This window comes from Homo sapiens, chromosome 10 (genome assembly GCF_000001405.40).
Source record: "Homo sapiens chromosome 10, GRCh38.p14 Primary Assembly".
NCBI classification, from domain to species: Eukaryota; Metazoa; Chordata; class Mammalia; order Primates; family Hominidae; genus Homo; species Homo sapiens.
In genome coordinates, this window is record NC_000010.11 from 115730017 (window position 1) to 115749436 (window position 19420).

The 19420-nt window shown below is 34.2% G+C and overlaps 1 protein-coding gene across 9 annotated transcripts in view; it reads left to right on the top strand.

Moving 5' to 3' along the window:
- The window catches only part of ATRNL1 (attractin like 1), an 855635-nt gene that overhangs the window by 636652 nt on the left and 199563 nt on the right, over positions 1–19420 (top strand). The window contains exon 28 of one of the 9 annotated variants that reach the window (XM_011539589.3): positions 838–3865. The exons of the other annotated variants lie outside the window; for them this stretch is intronic. Within the exon in view, the coding sequence (XP_011537891.1) occupies positions 838–849 (12 nt within the window). The 3' untranslated portion in view covers positions 850–3865. Of the gene's footprint in view, positions 1–837; positions 3866–19420 lie in introns of those variants that run through there. 9 annotated transcript variants of the gene reach the window in all.

Here is a 19420-nt window from a genome sequence, read left to right on the forward strand (position 1 = left end):
GAGGCCGAGGTGGGTAGATCATTTGAGGTTAGGAGTTCAAGACCTGTCTGGCCAATATGGTGAAACGCCATCTCTACTGAAAATACAAAAATTAGCTGGGCATGGTGGTGCACGCCTGTAATCCCAGTTACTCTGGAATATGAGGCAGGAGAATTGCTTGAACCCAGGAGATGGAAGTTGCAGTGAGCCAAGATTGCACCACTGCACTCCAGCCTGGGCAACAGAGTAGGACTCCTCAAAAAAAAAAAAAAAAAAAAAAAAAAAAAGAGAGAGAGAGAGAAACTTTGTATGGCATTATCTTTGAGAACCTAAATGCCTACCAATATGTTTTTCTCACATGTACAAAACAGTTTAATTGAATATGAAATTTTAGGTTCAAAGTTCTCTTCTCCACAGCTTTAACCATTGTCTCAAGTCTGATGTCAATTTGATTTTTTGTCCTTTGTAAATGATCTCCATTTTCTTTTTGGAATTTTTCAGTATTTTCTCCTTTCTCAGTGTTCATACATTTTTCTCCAATGTGTCCATATGTGTGTGTATGTGTATATATACATATGTTTCTTATTTCTTCCCAAGTAATAAAAGATACACGTAAATTTACGTATTTGCTAGATCGGCAGTTGAGGCGGGAAGAAGTGAATGTTTAGGGTTATCTAGCCATCTGCTTTTATAGCTATGGGATTTCTTCCCTGAGATGAGCCCTATAATTACCCTGTCATCAGTGTATTAGTCAGGGTTCTATAGAGGGACAGAACTAATAGGAGATATATAGTTGTGTATATGTATATATTCTATATATATAGGAGTTTATTAAGTATTACCTTACATGATTACAAGGTCCCACAATAGGCCATCTGCAGGCTGAGGAGCAAGGAGAGCCAGTCCAAGTCCCAAAACTGAAGAACTTGGAGTCCAGTGTTCGAGGGCAGGAAGCATCCAGCATGGGAGAAAGATGGACTAGGCCAGTCTAGTCTTTTCGTGTTTTTTTCTGCCTGCTTTATATTCTAGTCTCGCTGGCAGATGATTGGATGGTGCCCACCCAGAATAAGGGTGGGCCTGCCTTTCCCAGCCCACTGACTCAAATGTTAATCTTCTTTGGCACATCGTCGCAGACACACCCAGGATCCATACATTGCATCCTTCAATGCAATCAAGTTGACACTCAGTATTAACCGTCACAATCAGTCTCCAGCCTTAGGCTGGCACTTGACTGGTTCTGCTGCTTTCCTGCCCCACAGCAGGTGGGATCGGTACCAATCTATCCAGGACAATGTGGACTGTGGCCCATATTATCTCCATGTTTAAAATCAGGAGAGGGAACAAATGACTCATTCTGATTTGCTATTTTGTTGTCTGTGGGGTCATTTTTGCAAGTACTTGGTATAACATAAAGCATTATATTAATTGTTGCAATTCTTACTATTTTTATTTTTCACTCAGTTCTCTTAATAACTAGCATGCCTCTATTTCTTTTGTATGACTTTTTGCAGAAAAATAATTACATGTAAATTCTCGTTTAGGAAAGGCCTTTATATTTGGGGATCAAGATCTAGTTATTAATGTATGGTATTTTTATGGAAATAGCTTTATTGAAATATAGAACATATACCAATAGTTATTATATTTATATTTAATATATATAATGTTCTAATATTTAATATATATAATGCACTGATTTTTGGTATATATACAGTTATGTAACCACCACCAAAGTCAATTTTGGATCCTGTCATCACCCCGAAAGAAACCCTATGCCTTTCAGCAGTCTCCCTACCCCACATTTTTCTTCAGCCCCTGCCCCCCCACCCCACACCCATCTCCTAGCCCTGGGCAACGATTAATCTACCATCTTTACAGATTTTACTGTTTTGGACATTTCATACAAATAAAACTATATACAGTGTGATCTTTTGTGATTAGCTTCTTTCGCTTAGCATAATGTCTTTAAAGTTGATACGTGTTGTAGCGCCTGTTAGTGCTTCATTCATTTCTATTGTCAAATGATATTCCATTGTATGGATGTGGCACAGTTTGTTTGTACATTAATTAGTTGATGGTTATTTGAGTTGTTTTCACCTTTTGGATACTATGAATGATGCCACTGTGAACATTTGTGTAAAAAAAATTGTATAAACATGTTTACATTTTTTTGGGTATATGCCTAAGGGTGGAATTGCTGGATTATATCGTAACTTTTTACCGCTTGTTGAAAAGTACTTTCTTTCTCCATTGAATAGTCTAGGGACCCTTGTTGAAAATCAATTTACCATAACCATGAGGATTTATTTCTGGAATCTCAATATTATTCTACCAATCTATTTATCTATTCTTATGACAGTACCACACTATCTTGATGACTCTACCTTTGTAGCAAGTTTTGGAATCTAAAAGTGTGAGTCATCCAACTTTGTTCTTTTTAAAGACTGTTTTAAAGATTGAATTTCAACTTCCTAGGTCTTGGGAATGATCAAAATGTTTAAATTGAGGTTAAAACATTATTTTTCAAAATTCCTTTACATACACTATCTCAATCTCATTTGAGTCTTAAGTCAATCCTATAAAATAAGCAGAACATATTTCATCTTTTTTTTCTATTTACTATTGAGGAAACTGAGGCTCTGAGAGCTTCAGACCTATGCTGAAGATCACAAATTCAGTCACCAGTAGAGCAAGAACCAGGGTTCAAATCTCATATTGGCCTAAGGGTTTCTTTCCCACATTGCTTTTTATATATGCTGATTTTCGTTCAAATTGAGAAGACATCTTAGACCTTAATATATCTATAGAATTTTTTTTGTAAGGAATAGAGTTACTTAAAGTTCATGTAGTATACTTTGATTCCAGGTGCTCAAATAGTCATAGATAATTGTGGATCTTAAGGAAGAACTTTCACTTGGAAAGTTATAGGCTGTCTTAGTATATCAGAGAATTCCAGCAGTTATCCATTGTAATCTAAATTGCTATAAAGAAATCAAAGTGACTTACTAAACTGCAATAAACTCAGCACACAAGCTTTCTTTTATTTTTATATTAGAAGTTTCTTATAAAAATAACTTTTGTAGTTTTGTTATGCTAATAAAGTAACAGTTCTGTAGAAACAAAGTAATTTAAGATTGTTTATTTGGTAATTATAGTCAAGTAGGCTAATTAATAATTTTAAAGACAGTTGTTTACAGCATGATTAATTTTTACCAGACTAATTATTTCATTAGTATTCTCTGTATATATTTTAACTACTTTATACCAGAATTTTCATTTTACAAATTTGTAATGTTTTGATTCTCTCCACCTATAAAGAAAATTATAGCTTTCGAGTACTATAAAGTGGAGTTTTCAAAAAGACACTGGACATGTAAGAAGCATACGGTAACCTAGAAAAAATTAATTTCGAATCTACTTTCTATTTGGTAGCTCTAACAGTGCTAATTTTGACATCACATTGAAGTTCATTCTCTGTTTATTGGGACAGTTCAGCCTCGTATCTTATGTAAGAAACCTCGCTCCCAAGGTGAAAAACGCATTGTTCAAGTCTAAGGCAGTCAAAGTGAAGCAGCTGTCCTATTAAGAGCATTGATGGCCTCATTCCTGGACCACATTAAGCCCAGTCCTCTGCTCTTGGGCACAGCCAGTGGTCCCCCTGGTTCCTCATTCCTGTCCTGCCATATCCATGGACAGTAGTTCCAGTGACTGGCCTAAGCAGCTTATTTAATTTTCCCCAGGTTTCCTTTTTTCTTATAGCTGATTTGTGATATTTGATATTTTTAATTATTATCATTTACTGTTAATATTCTGATTATGTAAAGAATACATCCTCATTATAGATAAATATTAATGTAAAAGATATAATACAAATTAAAATATTTCATTATCCCATTACCCATAAATATTCAGTGCCAGAACTTTTATTTCTTTCCAATAACATTTTCATTTTGCATATTTGTATTTTTACAAAATTGAGAGCATATTTTATAGTGATTTTGCATTCTGTTTTTCTCAGTATTAGAATAAGAACATTTTTCACATCTAAGTTTGATTCAAAAATACATTTTAATTATTTTGTGGTATATCATCATTTATTTGCCTATTCTGTTTTCAATTAGCATTATTCTAATTTCACACTATTATAAATAAGACTGCATTTCATTTTTGTATATAACTCGATCTTACTTTATGAAAAAAAACCTACTGAATCAAAAGTTATTAAGTTTTAGGATCTTGAGGTATATTGCTTATTTACTTTCTAGAAATGTCGCTGTTCACACTATCTTTAGCAAAGTATGAGAATTTCTATTTTCATGCATCCTTGTCAAAAATGATTGTTGGTGTTTTTGCAACTGTTAATTTGATACAATAAATGTTACCTTCTTTCTTTTAATCAAATTTTTATTGTTAGTAAAATTGAATATTTTTGTATTGTCTGTAACCATTTGTATTTTTCCTAGATGTTCATTTGTTGATCATTATTCTCTAATCCTTTTCTATTTTAATAGCATTTATTGATAGTCATCTGATTATATGAGAAATATTGTATTAATTCTAGAAAACTTAGAAATGATAGCTCATTCGATATCTTTCTTCATCTTTCTATTGGAACATTCCTTGCCTTTTTACTTCTAGATCAAATATATTAAGCATTTGTAAATTACCTGCTATAAATGTTTTCTCTCTTTGGATATTGATTTTAAATGCTATATTTTCTCTACTTTTAATTAATCAGCTTATTGTGTCTTTTGGTAATATTTTTCAGACCCTACCTTTGCTTTATTTTCATCCTGAATTTCCTATTATTTTTCCATCTTTAAAAAATATTCCCTTTTATCCTCAATTGATTTGCATGTTATAAAATTTATTTATTTTAGTGGTTACTCTTAACATTTTAACAGGCATAGTTTAAGTCAAAAATTAATGAACATTTTTCCCTCTTCCCAAACAATATAAATCTTGCTTCCAATTTAAGAACAATTTAAATCTTGCTTCCAATTTTCTTTGTTTTTGTTACCTTTGTTAAGTTCTATGAGTTTTGTCATTCCTTGAATTAAACATTATTGTTGTTGTATTATATGATCAATATGTGTTTAAATTTACTTACATATTGTGTATTTTCTTGGCTCACAGTTGTTCTTCGCCTTCAGAGCTTCCTTTTAAAATGTTTCTACTTTCCTGCTCTGTCTTTAAGTAATGCCTTTAGCATATGTCTTTTGATAATAAACTCTCTTAGTCTTTCTATTTCCCTCTCCAGTTTCAGTATCCTCTTATTGTTTACAATCTAAGAAATGTATTTAAAATATACTTTATCAAGCATTCTAGTTATCTTTCAGTGGGAGGGTCACACTCACACATTGTGTTCACGTGAAAATTGTTCTGACACTGGCTTCTGATTTCCGTTGTTGCTGTAGTAGGTCCCTTCATATCCCCAGGGAATATGTTCCAAGAGTCCCCGTGGATGCCTGAAATATGGGATAGTACCAAACCGAGATATACATACCTATGATAAAGTGTAATTTGTAAATTAGGCACAATAAGAGATTAACAGCCGTAACTGATAATAAAATAGAACAATATTAATAACTTGCCAGCATCACTACTCTTGCACTTTGGGGCCATTATTAAATAAAATAAGGGTACTTGAACACAAGTACTATGATACTACAAAGCTGATGTGATAACCAAGACAGCTACTAAGTGATGAATGGGCAAGTAATTTATACAGTGTAGATGCAGGCTGAATATGCTAGACAGAGATAATTCGCATCTTGTTCCAAGTCAGAATTATGTGCAATTTAATCTTTTTCTTCTGGAATTTTTCCATTTAATATTTTCAGACCACAGTTGACTACAGATAACTGAAACCATGGAAAGTGAACCCATGCATAAGGGAAGACTACTGTACTAAAAACTTTCCTTCAGTATCATTGTCACTCCTTTATAGAGAATCTAGCTTTTCTCTCCAAAATCCCTGTGTTTGGTGTTCAGCAGTTTTATCACAATTTAACAAAGTATACCTTTATTTGTTTTTAACCTACTTGGCATATTTTGTGCTTCCTATATTTGAGGATCCAAGTCTTTGGTTATTTCTAAGTTATTGAGTCATTATCCCATTTGTATTTTCTTTATTCCCCTTCTAAGACTCTGATTAGATGCGTGTTAAACCTCTTTCCATCTTCACAATCTCTTAGTCTTTCTGTTTTGTTTTCTATCTCCTTCTCAATGCTGTTTCTTTTGGCTTATTCCGAACATTGTTCCAATTCACTAACTATTTTAAGTGTATAAAATCTGTTTTTGACCTGCTTTCTACTATGTCCATTTGGATTACTATCAACACATATTTTTATTACTTTCTAAAGTTATATTTTATTATTTATTTATTAAAGTTCTATTTGGTTCTTTTTTTAAATCTGACAGTTTTTGAAAGTCTCTTCTTCCTTACTGTTTTCATTACTTCATTTTTCATTCCGAATAAAATTATTTTTACGTTGTATCTGATCATTTCAATATCTGAAATCCTTGGAAATCTAAATCTGTTGATTATTTCTGCTGGCCCTCAATCATTATGACTGATTTCCTTGTGTATTTGGTGATCTTTATGAGCTCTTATATGATCTTAGTTTGTGGTTTGCTAGTGACCCAAAGAATGCTTTCCTGCATAGAGGATTGCTTTTGCCAAAAACCAAGGGCCTCTCTTTATTCTGTAGTCACTTCTTCCAGGGTCTCTGGAATAGTGCAGGAATCTCAAACTCAGTTTTCCTTTTTATTTATTTATTATTTTTTTGAGACGGCGTCTTGCTCTGTCGCCCAGGCTGGAGTGCAGTGGCATGATCTCAGCTCACTACAACCTCTGCCTCGCAGGTTCAGGTGATTCTCCTGCCTCAGCCTCCCGAGTAGCTGGGACTACAGGTGTGTGCCTCCATGCCTGGCTAATTTTTGTATTTTCAAACTCAGTTTTCTTACCGTGTGAGTTGCTCATATTAACTTTTACCCTCAGGGCCACTCTGCTGTCATATTTGCTTGCTGCTCATTGCACCCTCTCCAGTTTTATCTGGTTGCCTTGGAGCAGTTTTATCTGGTTGCCTTGGAGCATTCCCTTACTGGCTGCATTCTCAGCAATGCATTAAAAGGTATACTTCATTGGGTAGGCACGGTGGCTCATGCTTGTAATCACAGCACTTTGGGAGGCCTAGGCAGGAGGATTCCTTAAGCTTAGGAGGTCAAAATCCACCTGAGCAACATGGCAAAACCCTGTCTCTACAAAACATCCCCCCCCCCCAAAAAAAAAGGCTGGGCATGGTGGCATGCATCTATGGTTCAGCTACTCAGGAGTCTGAGGTGGGAGAAGTGCATGAGCCCGGGAGTTCGAGGCTGCAGTGAGCCATGATCATACACTGCACTCCAGCCTGGTTGAACAGAGCAAGACCCTGTCTAAAAAAAAAAAAAGAAAAGTATACTTCATTAAGCATTTGGTTATTTTGAAGTGGGAAGGCCCTACTTACACTATCTGTAGTTGTCTCCTCTGGCAACTCTATTTTACTGAACACAGGTTCTCTTTGGATTGCCATTCCTCCTCCTGGCCTTGGCTCGATATTTTCATTGTCACCAATTTAAGACTCAGGCTTTGGCAAGTTGAAAGGGATGGGAAGGGAGGTCCCCTTCACTTGTTAATGTGGTAGTAGCATAGAAACAGTCAAGCCATCCATTTCCTACAGACCTTTTGGTACTCCCCCAGTTTCAGAGAGAATGAGGACTCAGACCCCCAATTCTGCTTCTTTCTAAGCCTCTTGGGGACCAGAGAGTCCAGGTATAGTCTTTTAGGAACTGTATTGACTTTTCTCTTGGTGTTTACAGTTCTCTCTAGACCAAGCCTCTGTAAAATTCTTACACTGGGTCTTGATGCTGGTTCCTATGCACTTGGCCAGTCCAAATGGGAGAAAGTAAGGCATGAGTTCCCTCCACCAGAGTTTCTATAGGACCCAATCCCTAATTGCACATAGTTGCCTATAGGCCCCATGAGCCATTTGCCTTAAGAGAGGGAGATGATTTTCAGTTGGTAGTAGACAGAAGGAAATTGTAAGGAAATTGCCAAATTCTTCATAAAAAATGATTTAGAAGATAATGATTTTTTTTTTTTTTTTTTTTTTTTTTTTTTGAGATGGAGTCCTGCTCTGTCGCCCAGGCTGGAGTGCACTGGCACGATCTCGGCTCACTGCAACCTCTGCCTCCCAGATTCAGGCAATTCTCCTGCCTCAGCCCCAGTCTGTAGCTGGGGTTATAGACACCCACTACAATGCCCAGCTAATTTTTATATGTTTAGTAGAGACAGGGTTTGACCATGTTGGCCAGGCTGGTCTTGAACTCCCGACCTCAGGTAATCCACCTGCCTCGACCTCCCAAAGTGCTGGGATTACAGGCATGAGCTGCCATGCCCAGCCATGATTTTTTATTTTAAGAAAATTATTTACAATAAATAAGAGATTTTTATAGGCACACCTTTGGTTCTTGAAGTGAGGAAAGATCTAGTTTCCCAGCTGCATTTTGGAATTTTCTTCATCTTTATGTTAAAATTATAAAAAGACCTTTCTTCACCAAAACCATTTAGCAGGCAATGTTTTGGAAAAAATGTTTTGGAAATGTCAGATTTGTAGTATTAACATAAACATCGTGAGTTTCATGATTGATTGAAGCATGAAATAAGAATTAAGTAATGGTGCTTCTTCAATATTAACATGATATAAATAGAACTATTAAAAAGGTATGAATATAATGTATTACTGAAATTATTGAAATCTACATGGTTTTAAGTTAATATAATCTGAACTTTAAGCATGATAAAAGTCATTTGTTTACAGTTTAAATAAATAATTTGATAAATGCCCTAGGTTAACTGTCCTAATAAAGTAAATTACTGCTATCATCTTTCATTCAGAATTCACTGAGTCAAAAGCTAAATATATATATTTATAATTATTGTATACATCCAAAATTAAAATTTTACAAATGAAATTTTTCATTGCACTATTGAAATATTATTTTTATCTTATCTTAAATCATTTAAGATGAATATAAGCTATGATGGAGAAAAATGTAAAGATGAAAATGAACAACAGCAACAACAAAAAACTGGTTTCTCTTCACTGTGTCTGACATAATAAATAGAAACATTTGGATGTACAAAAGGCTTATAGTCCTGATCAACCTTATTCATACTGGCTGCCATTCAAGAGAATAATGTATTATTTAAGCATATGGTCACATCACAGCTGAATCAATCTAGCATAAACTATTTTTATACAGCATCCTTGCAAGTAAGAAATGGCTATGTAAAGTAAGACTATAATATCCTTTATTGGAAAGTTATAAATACAGTTTAACAATGCTTGGGAACAGTGTTATAGCTTTGGATAAACAAGACTGAATTGCCAACACTGTCCTCCACCCTTCACCTACTGTCAGATAAAAGAGGTAACATATTGAATCCACCAAAAATAACTGTGCTCAACAGAATGGGCAGATTGTATCTCCTGCACCCAAGAACATTCCACAATCTATGAAACACAGTAGGGTAAATTTGAGTATTGTCAAACCCTTTGAATACTCATTCCTATGTATGTTAAAATGATTGTGTTTAAAACATTAACACAAAAGTAGTATTAACATCCTAATTAATACAACTTTCTCAGTAACAGCAATCAGCTAGTCATATTTTTGGCTCCTGTTTCTAACCTTTTAGATTGTCGTGAAGCATTCATTTTATGTCTGGTAGTATGCAGTAGTTATTTCCTAGTTTTTGTTTAAATATTTTATTAGGCTGTTATTGCCTATGACAGTTACTTTTACACTAAATTTATGATTTTGCTTAATATATTTTTTGCTTATGTTTCATATAAAATCAGTTACTAATTTAACTTGTATATCCTTTTTTCTGTTACACGCAGTAGGAGATAATCTCATCAGGTTTATATCCTCAATGGAATAGCTGACTGTAAGAATCCTTAAAATGCTGTTAAATCAAATAGAATCTTATGAAGTGAAATACCAGATATTCAAAATGTAAAGCTAGATATTTTATGTGTAGAATCTAAGAAACCAATAATGTTATACTTTAGATAAACATTTTCATGTGTTCCCATATTTTACTTCCTTAGAAAATAAAATAGCAACTAGGTCAAAATTTAGAGTATTAAATATGCAAATTTACCTCAAATCTTAATATAGATTTTTTTTCATCAAAGGTCATAGTTCTTACATATTTCATACCAGAGACCTTTTCTTATATTCACACTTGATAATTTTGTTTATATTATTATATGTCTTTTTAAATTTGCTTTATAGAGAAAGGCTCTGGATTTACCATTAATGACATATAAAAGTGGGGCAGAAAGTTGGGTGCAGCAGCACACACCTATAGTCCCAGCTACTTGTGAGGCTGAGGTGGGAGGATCATATGAGGCCAGAAGTTCCAGGCCAGGCTGAGCAATATCAAGATCCTATCTATCTATCTATCTATTTTGTTTTTTTGAGACGGAGTCTTGCTCTGTCCCAGGCTGGAGTGCAGTGGCACAATCTTGGCTCACTGCAACCTCCACCTCCCGGGTTCATGCAATTCTTCTGCCTCCGCCTCTTGAGTAGCTGGGAATACAGGCACACACCACCATGCCTTGCTAATTTTTGTATTTTTAGTAGAGATGGTGATTCACCATGTTGGCCAGGCTGGCCTCAAACTCCTAACCTCAAGTGATCTACCTGCCTTAGCCTCCCAGAGTGCTGGGATTACAGGTGTGAGCCACCACACCCGGCCAATCCTATCTCTTTAAACACACACACACACACACACACACACACACACAAACACACACACAATGTTATGGAATAGACTATCAAGTATGTAAAGTTTAAGTGCAATTTTTTATGAAGGAGTTTTTATTTCTTGATTTTTTTACTCATCCCAGCACATTTTGGAAAATAAAAGTAATAACAGCTCAGTTTTATTTTTCCATATTTTAAACTGGAAATTCTACCTTAAAAACAAACTCTATATACTATGAACAATTGTCTCCACAAATATTGACCTATATGCAAAGCAATACAGGAGGTAGATATGGAAAATATGTTATCTTTACCTTTCAGAAACTTACAGACTAACAAGAGAGATATGTGCGTGTAAAAATACCTCTAATAAAAATATGTTATTAATGCCAAAAGGACAATAAGCATGAAGAAGAGGAAAAAGGAATACAATACTCAATGTATTGCTGAATGTTTCAGGAAAGGTTGTGGTCATTTATCTTGGGCTTTAAAGGTACCTAAAATGTCAGTAGGCAGAGATAGGAATAGGTGAGGATGGAGACAGGTAAGAAGCATGCCAAGTTGAGAGAGCAAGGTGAGCGAGGGACGGAGACAGAAAACAGGGTGGTATGTGAGTGAGGCAGTGAGAAGGCCACATTCACCCAATGAGGAAGCAGCTGTGAGAGTTAAGGTAGCAAATATAGGAGCATATCATGGAAGACAATTTAAACAAGATGCCGAGGATCACACAGAAGGTTTTTGAGAAGAGTTTTATGATTAATTTTAGAAAGATTACACTGGCAGCATTTTCTAGCATCAACTGGATTGAAGAATAATTGAGGTAGAGAAACAATTTGGAAGGGCAGGCGCTGAACTAGTGATTGTCAAAATGTTAAGGTGCAAATATTACTGAAAACTTTGACAATGTAGAATATATAGAATGTAAGTAACTGAATATAGGGATAGTCTGGGTCAAAAAGAGGGAGGGGTCAGAAGGTTGGGTCTTCTTCATATGTACTTGAACTCATGGGAGTGAGAAAAGAGAATTGAAGGTAGAATCTAGGAAAATTGCTACAAAGAAACAAAGATTCAAATGACAGGCTGAGAAAGAGTACAGAATTAAGAAGATTGAAGAGTTTTAGAACTATTAGAATTAAGAATAAGACTGCATGCCAAGAAGGATGGTGTGGTAAAATATGTCATCCATTTCAAAGCAGTCAATGAAGATAAGCACTAGGAGAAAAGATGGAATTTGGTAATTATGCAGTCATTGGTGGCTTTTGAGGAAGTAATTTCTATTAAATGGCAGAAGCCAGACCGCAAGAGATGTGTGAAGATGAGAAAGTGGATGCAACAAGGATAGATGACCCATTTTGAAACTGACAATATTGAAAGGAAGGAAGGACATGAGATAGTAATTTAAGAAATTGGCAGTTTCAAGAGAAAGTTTTTTTGGGGAAGAAATATTCAAGGGAAAAAATGTATAGTAGGATAAAGGGGAGGTGAAAGCAGAGAAAGGATCAAGAAGTCAAGTAGAAGTATTAATTTTAGAAAGATGAAAAAGGATAATAAAATTATGGGTAAAGATGAAAGTACATTTTGAGCCTTTCTATTTGATAGGAGTTTACCTTCGATGATCTTATAATTTTTCACGATAATTGAGAAGTAAGGTCACCTGCAGAGAGTGAACTTGATGTACAAGGTTGAGGCTTAAGAATAGTAAGAGATGTAGAACATTTGTTTCAAAGGCTATGATGGTTAAGACAAAAACTGAGTTATCCATCTCCTTTCACTCTATTCTTCATTTTCTATCTGTCATTGAGCTCTGCCTGTTCTACAGCCTAAGTATATCTTAAATGAATCTCTTTATCATCACTACTGCCCCTGTTTCAAGCCTTCATGATTTTTTTCCTGCTCTGTTACATTATCTTCCTTACTGGTTTCCCTGCCTTCACTCTTCCAGGCAGTTTTCCACATTGCTACTAAAGTAATCTTTCTAGCATGCAAATCTTCTCATATCACCTTGCTCAGAATTCCCCAATGGCTTCTCTATTAGTCCATTCTCACACTGCTAATAAAGACATACCCCAGACTGGGTAATTTACAAAGGAAAGAGGTTTAATTGACTCACAGTTCAGCATGGCTGGGGAGGCTTCAGGAAAGTTACAATGAAGGAGGAAGGGGAAGCAAATATGTCCTTCTCCACATGGCAGCAGGAAGGAGAAGTGCCGAGTAAAAGGGGAAAAGTCCCTTATAAAGCCATCACATCTCATGAGAACTCACTCACTATCATGAGAACAGCATAGAGGTAACCACTCCATGATTCAGTTGCCTCCCACCAGGTGCTTCCCAGGACACCACACATGGGGATTACGGGAACTACAATTCAAGATGAGATTTGGGTGGGGAGACAGACAAACCATATTAGCTTCCTATCTCTTATAGTAAAAAAAAAAAAAAAAATACAACTCTTCTATATAATGTACTATATACCCTACATGGATCTGATACTACCATTCCTATCCAGCCATTTCTTGTCATTTCACCCCAATAAGCTGACTCCACACAACATCCCTGCCCTTGCCTCTGACTCTGTCTCTGTTGTTCTCTTGTCCTAGAGGAAATTGCCTAAAGTGGTAGTTTAACTAATTCTTAAAGTTCGAAACAAAAGAAAGAAATAATAAAGAAAAAATGAATGAGAAACATTATCTTAAGGTGATAAAAAGGATTGCTGAGCAACAGTGAAGCATTGAGGATATAGAAATTATGTAGGAGCACAGTCCCTATTCTTGTGAATAACAGTTCAAGTAGAAGTGAAAGGGAAAACTGATGTTTAAGATCTTAAAAAATATTTGAGTTACAAAGTAATTAGGACTGCCTGATTTTGCTTTATTTATTGATTATTCTCAATTAGATAGATCTGTGTTTTAATTGCTCAATTATGCAACTTTCTTATTGTATTTTAATGCATTAAAATACTATGTGTATTTTATTAAAATTGTATGTGTATTAAAATACACATACAGTAACTCAGACTTAAAAAAATAACAAAAAGAACTTTGTTTAGAAAAAATATAGATTTTAAGTGAACAGGAAAAATCTTTTTGTAACCACATTGAAAGAAGTTGTTCAGCCAGTATATTGTACACATCTACACATATGTTTTTATTCTAGGAGTAAATATAAATGAATATGTATTCAACATGAATAAATGTGAGTAAATATTGAGTATTAATGAACTTACATAAATTTTTTGCTTATAACTTCCTGTTAGAAGAAGCATTCTTTCAAAACTTTTAAAAATGTATTGCATATGTGGCCTCTTAAATGTCTTTGAAAGATACATCATAACATCTATGTGTTTGGAGGAATTTTAGAAATTTTTAGAAACTACGTTCACAAAATAGAATGATTATGCCTATATAAATTAAATTTCAAGCAGTTCCAAATAACATTTTATTAAAAGTACATTAAATTTTGATGACCTCATTCATTAAGCAAAATAATGTACAGTGCTCTATACTAGACATTCCAGATAGCACAAAAGTGCTTATGACATAATTGATACTCTAGAATATCTTAGAATCTGCTGTTAAGGATGACATTAATTATATCACCCCTTGAATCATCTCTTTCTTCTTCTGCTACTGCTTCTTCTTTCATTCTCTTTCAGTCTAGTTCTCTTACTACACACTATTTCTCATGTGTTACAATAACATGCAAATGATGATAAACCCAAAGCACCATAGGATCTCAGAATACTTTTAATTCATCTAAGTAAGTTTAATGTTAGTATAATTAGTAATAAAGATATTTCATTATATTTACATTAATATATAAACCCTCTTTTTGCCATAATATTTGATTAACTATATACCTCTAATCAGCCTCCCACTGTATTGAATTTAATGTGAGTGTATGAATATGTAAATGCACGCATAATACATATACACAGTTTTCATCCAGCACTGAACGACAATGTGATTGTCACAATAATTATTTTCCTACATATTCTTGAATTGTGAGGGCAATATAGTTATAACATCAGTTGTTAATTTTTAAATAATGTTAGCTATTTCTCTAAGAAAAGTAATATATCTTAATTGTAAAATTTTGTAAAATGCAGAAAAATATATTATACAAATAAGAAGCCTCATTCATACTCCATCACTGTTTGTTCTACAAGTGTGTGCAGTCATACAGTGACCACACCAATCAAGATATACAATGTGCTCATCACCATGGAAAGCAAAGCCCATCACTCTGCCCCAAGACCCTTAGAACCACTTATTTGTGCCTTTATAGTTTTGCCTTTCCCAGAACATCATGAAAATGGAACTTTTTTTTTTTGTGACCGAGTCTCACTCTGTTGCCAGGCTGGAGTGCAGTGGCAAGATCTTGGCTCACTGCAACCTCCGCCTCCCGGGGAACCATATTTTATGCAGACTTCTGTGTCTTGTTTCTTTCACTTAGCACAATACTTTCAATGAGCTCCAACCATGCCATTACGTATCAGTAGTTTATTCTATTACTAAGTTTATTCCATTGTATATCCACCACAGTTTATTTATCCAGTCACCAGATAGTAGACATTTGTATTTTTCAGGACCTGGAGCTACTGTAAATAAAGCTATCATTAATGTTTGCATACAGGTCTTTCTAATAAAATATGTTTTTATTTCTCTCAGGTAAAAAGCTATCAGTAGGATTTCTGGGCCATATGGTAAAAGTATGTTTAACTTTAGCAATTTTCCAAAGTGTATATGCCATTTCGTATTTCTCCCCACAACACATGAGAGTTTCAGTTGCTTCACAACCTCACCAGAACTAGGTATTGTTGAGATTTTGTATTTTGTTTTGTTATTCTAATGACTGTGTGATGGTATCTTGTTGTATTAGATTGGTGCAGATGTAATGGCAAAAACTGCAATTACTTTTGCACCAACCCAAAATTTGGTTTTGAAGAGACGTAAATTAATTTCCAACATTGGTGGGGTCTGGCTACCCATTTATAGGTATGCATATCTTCAAACGTTAGTTTTCCCATAGCTATATATGCATAGATATCAACTGAGGAATATTCTGTAATGAAATACTAGGGGTGGGGAATATGTAATATGTGCTTAAAAAACAAGAATCCAAAAATTGAATTTTGGAAAATATCTTCATAAAATAAACAGTTGTATATTTCCAGTTCTTATGAGGCCTTCTTAGTGAAATAACTCCATTATATAAGAAAAGAAATATTAATATCAAAGGTTAATTTTTAACTTTTATAAGAAAAAACTGAGTGTACATAGAAATAGAGAGATAAGTCATATCACTCAACTTCGAGAACTGCTGACTCATGGCCAATCTTGTTTCATCTTTATGCTCTCTCACCCCGAACTTCAGCATTGATTATTTTGAAGCAAATCCCAGGCATCAAAGATTAACTTTTAATTGAATCTCAGAGTTTTTGATTTATCATATTAGTATTGAAAATAATTATCTTAAAATGTTTAAATTTTTAAACTTTTAGTATTAATCCCTAAGGTTTTAGTAGTCTCTTGATTTGACCCATTTACATGTGGAGTATTTACTAGGTATGATATTCCAGGCATTTATTCAATAAGCAATAGGAAAATCATTATACCTGAATGGGAATAAAAGCTTATTAAGTGAGATTGTTTTACTTTATTAGCATACTTTGTATATAGTTTCTTTGATAGCATTTTATAGACATTAAATTATATGAACTGTAGGTTTTGCATAATGGAAGTTGCCACTTAACAATATTGGCCCCTATTTTTTATTCACTATAATATATTTTTGAGTTACACATTGACTATAATCCTAGGAGTACTTTCTTAATTCTTATATTATAATACTGATCTAATTTTTCTCACTGGGAAGCTCAGCTGAAGTGCATAACAGGTTTTAATTAAGAATAAAAGGAGGAAAGAAAACAAAACTTCACATCATTAGGAATTCTGATTTCTGCTGCTCTAACAAAAAAGACCACAAGCAATATGAGATTCATCAAATGTGAGAAATGATAACTAACCATGTTAGGGGTCACCTATAACAAACTACAATAATTGAGAAAGTAACCTTGACGCATTTCAGTTGAAGTGTGAGTATCTGTAGTTTATTATATTCCAGACAGTATACATTACCAAAGATGTAGGGCCAAATTAACTTTAATGTTGCACTCTTCACAAGACATTCCATAGCTAGCAATAACATTAAGATAACGCTGTTAAAGTAAGAATTTCAATTATAAGGCAGATGAGATTGTGAAAACATGACAGCTTTAATGAGCAATAGTAGTTGGGATTACTTTGATAAGGAATATAGTTATCATAGATAGAAAAGAAACAAAATACAGCCTGCAGCCTTTTCTTATTGTGTCATGTCACCCTCTATTGATAACAGCTTTGGGTTCCAATTCATTTCTATTCATTCTCCCAACCTGTGCTAGAATGATGATCCTTTATCTTACATATACTGTTAGAACACCTTCCAATTCTGCATTCCTTCATTCTTCCAAATAGCTGATAGCATGTTATCTTACTTGCTCTCATCACATCTTGGTTAAGAAAGAAAGGCAATCAAGATATTGGCCCCATCTTGCAGGTGGGAAAACTGGATCGATAACTCAGTGGTAATACTGGGAATAGATTCAGATTACTTGAAAGATCACCAAATGCTTATTCAGGAGGCTGACTTTAACCAAGGAATATGTAATGAATAGAACCCAAATACAGTATCATTCTTTGTGGTTGTATGAGACATGCTCTTGTTTTTGAATTTAGAGTGGTAGAGAGAGACATGATCTTGTTTTTCACTCTGGAATGACAGCCTTCTTTTCCTCTGATCTTATTGTTCCCACCAGTGATCTTCACTATTCCAACTAGTGAGAGGTGTGTTATTCCATCTGGACTGCTACAACAAAAATACCATAAACTTCTGTTGACTTATAAACAACAGAAATTTATTTCTTACAATTTCAGGGACTGGTAAGTTCAAGATCAAGGCACTGGCACATTCAGTATCTGGTGAGGGCCCAACTTTCGGGTTCATAAATAGTGCCTTCTTGCTGTATCCTCTTATGGTGAAAGATGCAAACACACTCCATTGGCCTTCTTTCATAAGGACACTAATCTCATTCTTGAGAGTCTGGCTCTTATAACCTAATTACATCCCAAAGACTTCACCTGATAACACCAGGACTTTGTAGATTAGATTTCATATGAATTTGGGGGAGGATACAAACATTCAGACCATAGCAAGAGCGACATATTCTTTGTTGCCCCTAAGCATGTAACCATTCCTACAGTGGTTGTATCTACTGGCCTTGCTAGTGAAGCCTGTAAGTCATGTAGAATGTACTGCTATTGCTTTTCTGATATTATTTAACAAAGAAACCTACTCCCAGGGCAGCCAGCAATGTTGACAACATTTTGACCTCTCCTGAAGCTTCCAGGCTGTTTTATACAATGAAGGAAGGGTAACAGGTCATCATGCTTATCTGATCTATAATTCATTTGATTAATGTTACTGATCAGCTGCATCTTTTTTTTTTTTTTTTGCCTCTCTGTTGTAAATTGGTAGGGATTGTAGTTTCTTGTTCACTTTGGATTTTTCCATTACACATGCAAATGGAGATTTTTCTTTACATAAATAAATCTTTATGATCATTTTGGTTATTTTTAAAGGTCTGGAACTTTTTTCTGTCTCTGAAAGCCCTGGACACTCTTTTGGTTTCAATCACCCTATGCTGTATGTCACTATTTACTCACCATTTATATAATTAATATAAATATTTTTCCTCAATTTCTTTTTAAATACATTTCTCATAAAACATTTTCACCCACATTGCTTGCTCTAGAGCATGACCAATGTTCATAGTCTTTGCTACAATATGTTGTAGAATACCATAATGTTTGTGCTGTCTACTCTCATATTTACTTAATCTGTCATCAAAGGGAGCATTGCCGATGCCTTTAAGTGAACCAATCGATTATACAGCATTATGTTTAGCTTCCATAGCAGCAATTTTGTTTTCTCCCTTAGGAATCTTAATTCTGGAAATGAACATTTTATCTAGATTCGGAATGCTTATTTATTAAATGCAAATGTATTTAGCTTAAATAATATATTTATAATGATTCACAGTAACAATGAAATGTATAAGACATTTTACTAGAGTCTATGATGATTTTCAATATAATCACAATGAAATGTATTTAAATTAAAAATATTACTGTAAATCTCTCAAGATGAACCACAGAGCTCAATACAAAATTGATGTTCTTAAGTTAATCAGTTAGTTAATGTATTGCCAAACAAACTAGAATAGAATACTATATTATCAGGGCAACTTTGTTAAATAGATATTCAACTTTTTAAATATAAGAACATAGTGTATTTCAACCATCTTTTAATACTAATTTTATGTATTTTTATTGTACTTATTTTGTTTTATTTCTTTATCATTAGAAACAGTAAACCAATAATTCCAAAACAAAGAAAACTCACTAATTCTTTTTATTCTTGTTCATTCCTTTTTGTCCTGTTAATCGTACTTAGAAATACAGTATTGACATTTCCTGGGCTGCTTTTGTGTAGAGCCTTGTGCTGATATATAAACATAGAAATT